Below are 12,171 nucleotides of genomic sequence, written 5' to 3' on the forward strand. Positions count from 1 at the left end.
TGCCCCGTGTGTTCCCTGAGGTTCCAGTGGGCTGCTTCAGGGAAGGCGGGCCGGGAATTCCTCTCTGTAAGACAGGCCCCGTTTTATGCAGCTGTGAACCTTGTGCTTGGGTGTAGTAGGTGGTCGGCTCTTTTCTTTTCTCCTGTTCACAGCACGCTTATAGCCAGAGCAGACTCTATGGTTTGCCTGGAGAGAGCTTGCACACACATCGTCACCCTGTCTCTGGTGGTTGTGGCTGCAGCCTCCCAGACGCCTCTCCCTGTCCCCACCCTTGACACGCCTGGAATCCGTGTTCTCCCTCGTTTCTCCGACTTCATCCCAGGACTTGGCCCTCACGGCTCCAGGAGCTGCTGAGGCAGCTTCATCTCAAAGCCAGGTCCTCTCCCTCCTGGTGACCTGGCCACCACCTTCTGCTCCTTAATGCTCTGTGCTGCTTCCAGCGCCAGTGCCTTTGCCTGTGCGCACCTGCCTGCCTCAGTCTCTCCTCTCCTCCTCCTCTCCACCCAGAAAACTACAACACTATCCCTTCTCTCTCAGCACCTCCTCCAGGAAGCCTTCCTGGACTCCCCAGGACATCCAACCCCTTGATACAGGCTCTCATTAATCCTGGAGTTCTCCTTCTGAATTCCTATCTCAATTATCATTGCATGATTCATATAATTAGATATTTTGTTCAACATATATTTGCTGAGAAATCGTGGGTGCCAGGCACTGTTATTCTAAATGCTGGGGATACAGCAGTAGATCAGCTAAGACTACTCTGGTTTGAAGAAAAAACAGGAATTCCTCAGAACACAGACTTGAAACCAGCCCAACGTTCCTGTTCTCACACAAGGAGAAGCCTAGCCAGCCATGGAGAGCTGCAGTGGTATAGTGGCCATGGAGAGCTGCAGTGTAGTGGCTGTGGAGAGCTGCGGTGGTGTAGTTGTGCTTCTCTGAGAAAGTGACGTCTGAGCATGGTTGTGAGTGGGATGACAGTGGCCACTGTGCAGGCTGGGAAGGAGACAGCAGTAGCACGGAGGCTGTGAAGCGAGAGCGAGGCTGGAGTGTGAGGGGCAGTGGCGGGGGGAGCGGGGGCGTGGGTGCGATGGGGTCATGGGGGACTGAGGCCAGAGAAGGAAGTGTGGCCCTGCCGAATTTGGGACCATTTGGGCTAGGGGGCCCCCAAAGAGACCTGCCGTGTGGAGACTAGCCATGGAGAACCGTGGTGGCGGAGTGGCCGTGGAGAGCTGCGGTGGTGGAGTAGCTCACAGTGTTGGGCCCTGATCTGTCAAGGCTTTTGGCCTTTTCCTCATGATCACTAGGTGGTTGCCACAGCTCCAGCCATCACATCTGCCATGTCAAGGAAGGAAGGGTAGGGGATGGTGCCATCTGACTTTAGAAAAAGTATATGAAAACAAGAACTCTCTGCAGGCTTCTCCTCGCTCTTTGGCTACAGTTGTGACACATTTGCTGCCTGTATTGGAGCTTACATTCTAGTGAAGGTGACACAACAAGTAAGCAAATCACGTCACTGTGATTCCAGGTCATGTAAGGAAAATAAGGCAGAGAAAGAAGGGGTGGAGGTGGTGACTGTTTTCGGCGGCTTCTCTGAGAAAGTGACGTCTGAGCATGGTTGTGAGTGAGATGACAGTGGCCACTGTGCAGGCTGGGAAGGAGACAGAGCGGTAGAGCGGAGGCTGTGAAGCGAGAGCGAGGCTGGAGTGTGAGGGGCAGTGGCAGGGGGAGCGGGGGCGTGGGTGCGATGGGGTCATGGGGGACTGAGGCCAGAGAAGGAAGTGTGGGCCTGCCGAATTTGGGACCATTTGGGCTAGGGGGTCCCCAATTTTTTTGGCACCAGGGACCAGTTTTGTGGAAGACTAACTTTTCCACAGATGGGAGTGGGGGGATGGTTTGGGGATGAAACTGTTCCACCTCAGATCACCAGGCACTAGATTCTCATAAGAAGCGTCCAGCCTAGATCCCTCCCATGCACAGTTCACAATAGGCTTCACACTCCTATGAGAATTTAATGCTGCCGCTGACCTGACAGTAACGCTGGCTCACCCGCTGCTTACCTCCTCCTCTGTGGCCCGTTTCCTAACAGGCCACGGACTGGACCCCTGGTTTAAGCCATATCCACAGGAAGTGTTTTCTCATCGTGATGGAAATGAAGGGAAGATGTGATCTGATTTACTTGTGTGTGTTTTCATTTTATTCTAATCTTTATTTTTTTAACTCAGAATTATTTTACACCTCAGTTTTTATTCAGAAAAGCATTAACCATCATTTGTTTTGCATATAAGACATGGTGAGATCACAATAAGTGGAGAATGTTTGCCATCGTTTTTCTACTTGACATCAACAGTGTAACATTAGCTTTTTTTTGTATGTTATATTTACCCATGTATTCATAATTTGGGGTACTCTTTATTTCTTTGTATAGCTCTCATTTTTCTTTTTCCTTTTTTTTCTTTCTTTTTGTGGGGACAGGGTCTTGCTCTGTTACCCAGGCTGGAGTGCAGTGGCACTACCGTGGCTCACTGCAGCCTCGACCTCCTGGGCTCAAGCAATCCTCCTGCCTCAGCCTCCCGAGTAGCTGGAACTACAGGCACATGCCACCAGCCTGGCTAATGTTTTTATGTTTTTTAGTAGAGCTGGGGTTTCGCCACATTGCCCAGACTGGTCTTGAACTCGTGGGCTGAAGTGATCCTCCTGCCTCGGCCTGCCAAAGTTCTGGGATTACGGGTGTGAGCCACCATGACTGGCCCAGATTGGATATTAATACAGTTTTTTTCTCCTTGAAAAGTTGACTCGTACTAACTGTAGAAAGCTGAGAGAATGCAGATAAAAAAGGAATAGTTTAAATCATCCTACCTTATTTGATTTTTTAAAAATAAACTGATTTTGGAATAATCTTAGATTTTTGGAAAAGTTGCAAGCAACGTATGGTGTGGTTTACTTTTTGTGGGTAATTTTTCTCCCCCCAGGAGATCACATTTGTCTCCTTCCAGTTTCTGGCACCTTAGCCCAGTAGCTCCTGTGTAGGGGTGCTAAGGCATTGGTTAAACGTCTCTTGATCGTTCCTGGTTTGTTTCCCGTTATTTTGTCTCCCTTTTGCTTCTCCCCTGGTTGGGTTTCTCCTCACTTCTCAGTGGGTTATTTCCACAATCGACCTTGGTTCTGGACCAGTCTTGACAGAGCTGCCAGAGGGAGCCTCGAAATGCAAACCAGCTGCATCTCCTCTTGTTGAAAACTCTGTGGCTTTTCAGGGAAAAGGCAGCCAGCAGGACCGGCCTGGCCATGGCGGCCTCAGGGCCCGAGGGTGGCTGTGTCCCCCACGCCTCTCCAGGCACACCAGGCCTCATCCCCCAGCTCTCGTGGCGGGTGCCTTCACCCTGGCCTGCGTGGCTCCTCGCCCGGGGGCCCCTCCCCATAGTTCAGTTCTCTGTGTAGGTGTCAGTTTCTCCATAAGCTCTCAGCTGCCCACACTCTCCCCCCGAAGTGTGGCCCCAGCCCTGCGGAGTGGTTCCCTAACCGCCACTCTGCCCACCTCGTGCTAGCCTGGGTGTGGGCTTGCCTGCTGGCTCTGGGCTCAGGCTGGGGTGCTGTCAGGGTTGCAGGGGTCACAGTGAATCTTCATCTTCCGTGGGCCAGTCCCCTTCCCAGCGTCCCTCCTGGGGCTGTGGGTCTGGCCTCCCCCGTTGAATGGCCCTCTCTTGAGGTTGTTGGGCATTGGTGAAGATCCTGATGGGGTCTCATCACTGGAGTCAGACGTCTTTCTTCCTGGGTCTGGGGCATGGCGGTATTACTGTGCGGGCTGTTGGGAGAGGGTCTGTTACCCTCATGGCTGCTTGTGACCTGTCCAGGCCACCACTGTGCCAGCCTTTGTGTGGCTGGTATTGTGGCTTCTAAGTTGAGCCTCCGCCTGGCTGGGTTGCGATGGTTTCACTCCTGTCAGGTTTTCATGCTATTGAAACTCACTTTTCTCACTGCCTGATTTCTGCCTTTTGTGGGTCCCTCCTGGTGTCCGTGATGCCCTCATTTAGTCTGCAGGCATCCCCCCACCTCTCTGCTCGCCCGGTGTGCACACCTGCTAGGTCAGCCCTGGGCATCGCATCAGAGACGCTGCCGTGCTCGGTGGCCTGGGGCTTCTGTCCTGTAGAGGCCTCAGCCATTGCATTTTAGGAATCGGCACTAAACTAACTTCTACTGCTGCCCACAGAAGAACTGTGCCAAATGCTCTGGTTGTCTACCGGAAAAAAAGGTAGTATGCAGGTTTCAGTGGCATATCAAATTCCATTTCTGTGGGCCTTTGTGGGAGGCTTGCTCTTAGCGGGGGCTGGTGGGGGTGGGGGGGGGTGGGGGTTTGTGGGGGTGGGTTCCAGCTCATTGTTGTGTTCAGGTGAAATGAGGCAGGGCTTTATTTTGATCCTATTTAGGTTGTAAGCAGGTCTGAGGAATTCACTTCCTCATGCTTCACATACCTAAATAATTAGCCAGTTGGATATGGACAGGAGCTGGAATCTGTTGCTCATTTGTAAGCCAGATTCTGAACTCATTCATTGTTGCAGTTATAAACTGGTTGCCTTTTTTCGGTTCTTGGAATGATTTGGATGGAGCTCACCTGGTCCCCCCAGCTCCCTGCTTTGTGATTGATTCAGTGTGTTCCCATGGCTTCAGGCCACCTTTGCTGGTCAGGGGAGCTGGTTCAGAGGGCTTGAGGCCAGCCTGCCCTTTGGATGAGAGGCCCATGCCATGATGCTGGTCATGGGGATAGCACCACAGGGCTCAGTCGGGGATATGCCAGAGCTTTAGGGTCCCTTGGGCCAGCAGCTGGGGTCCTTGGGCATTTCCTGGGTGGCGGTGCTCTCTGGGGTGCAGAGTTGGTCATTCCAGGGCAGGCAGTTCACTTGGCCACACCAGGTTTGGCTGGAAGCCTTCTCCACCGCATTCCCAACCGCTGGCCTCCCAAGTTTGGCTTCTTGTGGTCAGGGCCCAGACCATGATAACCTTGAGGACTCCTCTCTCCGGGAGACTGTCGGGGCTAAGCTGCCTGTGGCCCTCCACCGCCCTGCTCCTTCCTCCGGGTGGGGGACACCCCATCCCCCATGCCCCTACTTCAGCTTGCTGGGATTCACCCCCAGTGGCCTTCCAAGGCTCCTACCTTTCTCCCTGGCCCTGTCTCTGCACACTCCAATGTCTTCCCCTTTGGCTGACGCTTGGATTGGGGGTGAACTCGAGGTGTGGTCTGTGCAGAATGGCGTGACAGCCCTTCCAGCCCGTCACGGTGTGTAGTGCCCAAAGCCCTGGCCGTGGCCATCTCAGGTTAGACCCTCAGAGTGGCACTGTCAGGTAGAGGAGTCAGGGGTCTTATTGATGAGGAAATAGAGGCTTGAGAGAGGAGTGCGCAGCTAGTGTCTGACCAGCCCCCACATGGGGCACTCCCCAGTCCGAATGTCTGCAGTGCAGCTTCAGGCGCTGATGTGGGCAAACCCTTCCTCTCCCAGGCCGTCCCTTCCTGCAGCTGCTCGGACACTGGCACATGTTGGCAGGCGTCAGCACCAGGGCTGGGCTCCTGCCTGGGACTCGAATCGGGAGCAGGTCCCACGGAGGCAGAGCAGCCGAGAATCAACGGTGGCCATAGCCACCACATCCTGTTTCCAGGGGCAATGGTGGCAACAGTGCCAGCTGCCCTGCCTGCTGTGCCTGGTTGCCCCACAGATGTTTCCTGAAGCTTGATTTTGGCTGTGATTGGAGCGTGGCCAGTTCTGGTTCCTGCTATTTTCTGAGCCTGCTCCTCCAGCCTTCCCAGAAGTTCTTTGAGTTGTGGAGTAGCCTTTCAGTAAACGGCATTTGTGCTTAAATTAGCCCGTGTCAGTTTCTGACACCTGCTGTTAAGAGTGCTACCTGATGCAGGTGCTCGGGGCTGGCCAGGATCCCCACCTGAGTCTGGAGCCCTGAGCCCAGGCCTCCTGACTCCGACAGCCTGCAGCCCTGCCCGAACTGGGATGATAGAGCAGCAAACATGGCTCCATGGAGAGCGAAACCCAAGCTGGGCTGTTTACTGCCAGTCTGCTGGGAGCTTTGACCCACCATCGTGCAGGGCGAGTTTCCAAGAAATGGCGAGAGAGCATCCAGATTTCTCACGTTGCCTCTAGAGCCCTGTTGTCTGACCAGTATCTTCTGTGAACATACTTTGGGAAATGATCTCATGGACGCTTGGCCTGGATGGTGGTCACACTGGTAATTCAGTTCCACAAGTATTTTATGAGCCCCTTGTGTGTGTGATGTGTGCTGTTCTTCAGGGAGCCCTGAGCAGAGCTGCCAGCATCCTGCCTGAGAAGCAGTGGCCCGGGATGGTGGGAGATGTCTGCAGGCGCAGGGCGGAGGCTGTGGGCCAAGATTGTGGCTCTGAGAAATGGAGATGGGAGAAGGGGAGGCAGTCACTTTGGAAGAATGGGCGGGATGGTGATGATTTGAATGAGACTTGGGGGAGTTGGGGCAGCGTACTCCAGGGGATAAGATCAGAGGTGAAGGGGGTTGGGCTAAAATGTTGATCATGGTGGGAACAGTAGTGATCCCCAAATCCTACAGAGCCTTTGGGAAGCCTGGTCTTTGCATACGTTCCCTCTAAACTCGTGCCGACGTTGTGATTTGGTCTGATTTATCCTACAGACAAAGACAGTTGAAGCACCAAGAGTGATTTTCTCACAGCAAAGGGACAGAGGGTGGGAGGCCGTGATTTGCACCCCCTGCCTTTATCTGGCCCCTGCCACATGGTAAGTGGAAGGCAGGTGGCTCCTTCCACAGGGCTCTCTTTGCCCTCTCGGGAAGCCTGGTTTTTACCCTTGAGGCAGCAGGGAGGCTGCAGGGTGAGATGTTGAAGGAGTGTGATGTGGGCAGAGCCTCTGTGATGGGGCATGGTTTCTGGCACATCCCATTTCCATATTCTGGGGTGATCGAATGGGATCCGGTTCAAATCCCTGTCAGTCTGCACAGAAAAGGGGAGGTTTTGCAGGCGGCTCTGGAGTGTGACAGTTGAGGATTGAATCTTGAGAGTAATGCTTCTACAAAACACTTGTGTAGTTTGCGGTCCGCTGCCCGACCCTGGTCCCTTTAAGGGACATAAATGCACCTCTCTCTCCTCGTTCTTGGAAAGACAGATGAGAGAACCAAAGAGTGGCCTTAGAAGCATATGTAAGACACAGAAAGGAAAGATCAGCTGGAGTGCTGGTGAAGGGTTTCACAGGATAGGAGACCAGGCAGCAAGGTGCCCAGCGGACAAGCAGGGAGGGGGCCTTCAGTGAAGGCGCAGAGATTTGGGATGCATGTGGGATTCAGACCTGCTTCATTGTGGGAACAGAGCAGGAAGGTGCCAGTGAGCTGCCCTTCCAGGGGTCAGCAGACCTTTCTGTAGAGGGTTCCAGGGGTCCGCAGGCCTTTTCTGTAGAGGGCCAGAGAGTCAGTGTTCTGCGCTTGCAGGGCCACACTGCCTCTGTCACAACTGCTCACCTCTGCCACTGTAGCACGGAAGCAGCAGGAGATTGTGTGTAAATAAATGAACACAATTGTGTCTCAATAAAACTTTATTTACAAAGACAGGTGCAGTGAGTGAGCTTTGCCCCACAGGCTCTAATTTGTTGCCCCTGCTCCAGCCCCTTGATGTAGGGAGCCTTTGCTTTGTTGTTCTCAGTGAACTTTGAGGGCTGATGGTTGGGTTGGAGTGGAAAGAGCCCAGGTGTGATGGGAGCCGTGAGGATGGCCTTCCTTGAGTAGCCACGAGCTGCTGTGGGTCTTCCTGAGAAGCTGTGGCAATGGGAGGACAGAGGTAAAATAGCAAGACCCAGTGCCTAAGGAGGCTGAAGAGGGAGGATCGCTAGAGCCCAGGAGTTCAAGACTGCAGTGAGCTAGGATTGCACCGCTGCTCTCCAGCCTGGGTGGCAGAGCAAGACCTCGTCTCTAAAAAAAAAGAAAGAAATGTACAAGTGTAAAGGTAGCCTATAGATGTGTTCCCCTGTATTCCCCAGGCTCTATTCTTCAGCCTCCTGAGCAGCTGGAACTACAGGTGTGTGCTATCATACCCAGCTAATTTTAATTCTTTTGGGGCAGGGTCTTGCTACGTTGCCCAGTCTGGTTTCAACTCCTGAGTTCAAGTGATCTTCCTGTCTCAGCCTTCCAAAGTGCTGGGATTACAGGCATGAGCCACTGCACCCAGACTTGTACATCTCTTTAAATGTAAATTAAATGTGCTTTCCACAGCATTAGTGGAACACCCCAGCATTGCTCATCCTCTCCGGGCTGGCTCCTAACACAGGTGCCGTGGCATAGGTGCTGAGTTGAATCTCTGTTTTTGTAAGTCATTGCATACATGCTTCATTCTAAAATGTACTTTATTCCAAATATTGAACAGTTTGTCTTCGGGATTTATTGTCTGTGGTAGTTGTTTTATTAATTGTTTTAGTAAAACAAAGTTAGCTTAGTTGTGGGAATTATTTAAAAGGAGCTCTTACCAGGTCAGCTTCCTTCGGTGTTGCGTTGGTTAAAGATAAACGAGAAGAATCGGGATACAGTAATTTTAGGAAATAAAAGGAGACTGTAGTATTGGTTGGCTGCTCTAGGTAATGGTGGTAATTTTCTGTCTTCAGAGTAATCATATTGTGAAAATGATGCATCGTATAATTCCAAAAATGAGGAAGAGCTTTGGAATATATTTTGTGTCTTAAATAACCAGTACTTCTGTTGTGTGTTTTATATACGACCAGCCTCTTACCTATACACTTTGTCTTAAAAATTATTTCTGTTTAGGTACTTGGAAAAATGGACAAGGATTGTGAAATGAAACGCACCACACTGGACAGCCCTTTGGGGAAGCTGGAGCTGTCTGGTTGTGAGCAGGGTCTGCACGAAATAAAGCTCCTGGGCAAGGGGACGTCTGCAGCTGAGTAAGTATGAGCCCACGTGATCCTGTATACCGCACATGCTGAAGCAACCGAGGAGTATATGTGATAACGGCATGTTTTCCATTGATGGCAGGGTAACGCATAGCCTTACCCCCACAACCGCAACCACGAGTCCGTCTCTCAAAACAGTGTGCTGCGACGGCTCCTGCATTTGCAGCTTCCCTGTGTGTTGCCCAGGAGCTCTCCACCTCCGATGAACCCAGGGCCGTTCCCTTCATACCCTTTCATTAGTAGCTCTAAGATGTTTGATTAAGGTGTACGTTTACAGAGGAGTTGGTTGGTGATGAGCATTGAACATTTGGGTTCTTCGGCATATGTCTCTGGAAATTTAGAGACAGGGAGATGCAGGATTAATCTTGATTAAAAAAAAAAGCCCAGATCAGCGTTCCCTGTTCCTCCAGAGTCTGCCAGGTGAGTTTCATACTAGGACTGCTTGATGTTCTGGAATCCCTTAACCAGGAGTCCCAGTTGCCTTTTGAGAGCCGTGGTCAGACCCTTGGCGAGGGTGTGGCTGAGGATGGCCCTGCCAGGGGGAAGGGCCCGAAAGCCCCTTTTCAGCATGACTTTAAGTTCTTGTCATTTCTAAGAGCGTACATGTTTCTCTTTTTGTGAACAGCTCCCACTATATTTCTCTAATTGCAAAAACGTAAGAAATGTAAAGCATTCCTTAGTGTTTTGCTTTGAAATGTAACATTTAATTTCCTCCGTTCATTCTATTAAAATTGTAGCTCTTGTTATTTCTGACCAAAGAAGAAGAAGAAAAAAAAAACACCCACTCCTATGCTTGGTGTTTCTCTTAACTGGCTAATAAACACAATGCCAAGAACATTAGATAAAGAAAATACATAAGAAACATAAAAATTGATTTTAATGGGCCCCTGTCCGAGACAGCCATAATGAGCACAAGCGCAGTCATAAATATCAGCACTCGCCTCCGCTGTCGAGATTTTTCCTGTAGAGCTGCACGTTACAATCAATATAGTCTTTTTGAGACCAAAAAATAAGCAAACCTTTGAACCATGTGAATATACTCTTTTCAGTTTCTATGAGAACCATCTGGCTGTAGTGTTCAGAAAGTCACAGGCACCAAATAATTTGTAGGGGAAAATGTCATTTTGTCTTTTAGCATGTTCAGTTGCACAATAAATCATAGAAATTATGTGTTGGTTTTTTTTTTCTTTTGGGAAAAAGGTACAAAGTGAATTTGGGGAAGAAAAAGGAAAACAAAACAAAACAAACATTATAAGATATGTTTAGTTAAATGCCCATTGTGGATTAGGCAAATAGGATGAAGACGCTTAATTTTGAATTTCTACTTTATGAACTTTCTGAATCAAGTTAGGATCAGGTTCAGGTGTAAAAACAGCCGTGAAATAATGCTAAATCCTGAATAGGATCTGGCTGATTGCTCTCATGAAAACACACCTGTGGACAAACCATGGGAGCTGGGGCTGGTGCCTTCATGGCCCCTGGGAACTTGGGCTCCTCTGAGCTTGGGGTCTCCAGATGGTGGTCCCTGCCCTGGTGCTTCAAGACAGCTCCTGGGCCTCTGCCACAGGTAGGGGAGAAAGAAAGGAGGGCGTGTCATATATGGGCTAAAATTAGGTGTCTTGTGAGTAAGGAAGGAGTGGGATTTGGGGGGCAGCCAGCAGTATTTGTGTGTAGTTAATTTTAGTGGGGGGAGCATTTAAAAGTTTGAGAATAGTATATAAAAGTATATGAATAGTCAATTAAGTTTAACATTTTATCATTTTTAAAATTTAGGTAAAAATTACATAGAAGTCAGATTTCAAGTGTACAATTCATTTGACAAAAGTGTACAACCGTATAACTACCGCCGAAGATATAGAACATTCAAGATATGGAACATTCCAGAAAATTCCCTTGTGCCCCCTAAAGTTAGTCCTCTTTGTGAATTTTTGTTTCCATTTCTCCAGAGTAAATTCCTGAGTGTGGAATTGCTGGGCTGGATGGCAAATGTATGTTTAACTTGACAAGAAATTGCCAAAACTTTCTTCAGAGCGGGATGGAATTTCCACTAGCAGTGTGTGAGTTTCAGTTACTCCACGTTCTTGGCAGCACTTGGTGGTGTCAGTTTTTCAGATTTTAGCCATTCTGGCTGGTATGAAGTATATCTCATTGTGGTTCTAATTTGCACTTTGCTGATGACTTATCCTGATGAAGTCTTGGCCATTCCTATGTTTTCTTTGTGAAATATCTACTCAAGTCTTTTGCCCATTTTTTTTTTTTATTTCTTTGAGATGGAGGCTTGCTCTGTCACCTAGGCTGGAGTGCAGTGGTGCAATCTCGGCTCACTGCAACCTCCGCCTCCTGGGTTCAAGCAATTCTCCTGCCTCAGCCTCTGGAGTAGCTGGGATTACAGGCACGCACCGCCACACCTGGCTAATTTTTGTATTTTTAGTAGAGACAGGGTTTCACCATGTTGGTCAGGCTGGTCTCTAACTCCTGACCTTGTGATCTGCCTGCCTCGGCCTCCCAAAGTACTGGGATTACAGGCGTGAGCCACTGCGCCTGGCCACCTTTTGCTCATTTTAAAATTAGAGGTTTCTTGTTTGTGTTTTTGTTGATGTTATTGATTTGTGGTTCTGGATGTAAGACTTTTGTCAGATGTCTGTATTGTGATGATTTTCTCACAAGTTGGAGGCCTGCTTTTTTGTTTTTCCAATAGTGTCTTTTGATGAGTAGAGGTTTTAAATTTTGAACAAGTCCATATGTCTTTTTTTCCCTTTATGTTTAACACTTTTTGTGTTCCCTGTAAGAAATATTTGTCTACTGTAATGTCTGAAATAAATTCTCCCGTAATTTCTTTTAAAAGCTTTGTAGTTTTTTTTATGTTTAGATATATGTGATCCATTTTGAATTACCTTTTTGTGAGGTACAGAGTTTATTTTTTCCCTGTAGCTATTTAGTTGTTTTAGCATCATTTGTTGGAAAATAAAAATTGTCTCCTTTCTTCATTGAATTACCATCAGTTGACCAAGGGTGTGTGAGCCTGTTCCTGTTTTGCTCTGTTTGGTTCAGCCTACCTTTGCCTGTTCTATGCCCGTTCCATGCTGGCTTGGTTAGGTAGCTTTGTGATACATCTTTTGTTTTGTTTTGTTTTGTTTTGAGACGGAGTCTTGCTCTGTCGCCCAGGCTGGAGTGCAGTGGTGTGATCTCGACTCACTGCAAGCTGTGCCTCCTGGGTTCACGCCATTCTCCTGCCTCA

General features: G+C 49.4%; 1 protein-coding gene across 1 annotated transcript in view, besides 2 other annotated features; it reads left to right on the plus strand.

Annotated features, from left to right (window-relative positions):
* Positions 1–12,171, plus strand: part of MGMT (O-6-methylguanine-DNA methyltransferase) — a 303,743-nt gene that overhangs the window by 60,213 nt on the left and 231,359 nt on the right. The window contains exon 2 of the mRNA NM_002412.5: positions 8,788–8,924. Within this exon, the coding sequence (NP_002403.3) occupies positions 8,800–8,924 (125 nt within the window). The 5' untranslated portion in view covers positions 8,788–8,799. The remainder of the gene's footprint in view (positions 1–8,787; positions 8,925–12,171) is intronic.
* Positions 3,716–4,560: an enhancer, noted in NCBI's record as "H3K27ac-H3K4me1 hESC enhancer chr10:131329433-131330277 (GRCh37/hg19 assembly coordinates)". NCBI's record gives its function as "activates a minimal SCP1, AML or CMV promoter by ChIP-STARR-seq in naive H9 embryonic stem cells {active_cell/tissue: H9 hESC(naive)}" and the evidence as "EXISTENCE:reporter gene assay evidence [ECO:0000049][PMID:30033119]".
* Positions 4,561–5,405: an enhancer, noted in NCBI's record as "H3K27ac-H3K4me1 hESC enhancer chr10:131330278-131331122 (GRCh37/hg19 assembly coordinates)". NCBI's record gives its function as "activates a minimal SCP1, AML or CMV promoter by ChIP-STARR-seq in primed H9 embryonic stem cells {active_cell/tissue: H9 hESC(primed)}" and the evidence as "EXISTENCE:reporter gene assay evidence [ECO:0000049][PMID:30033119]".

Source organism: Homo sapiens, chromosome 10 (assembly GCF_000001405.40).
Source record: "Homo sapiens chromosome 10, GRCh38.p14 Primary Assembly".
Classification (NCBI taxonomy): Eukaryota; Metazoa; Chordata; class Mammalia; order Primates; family Hominidae; genus Homo; species Homo sapiens.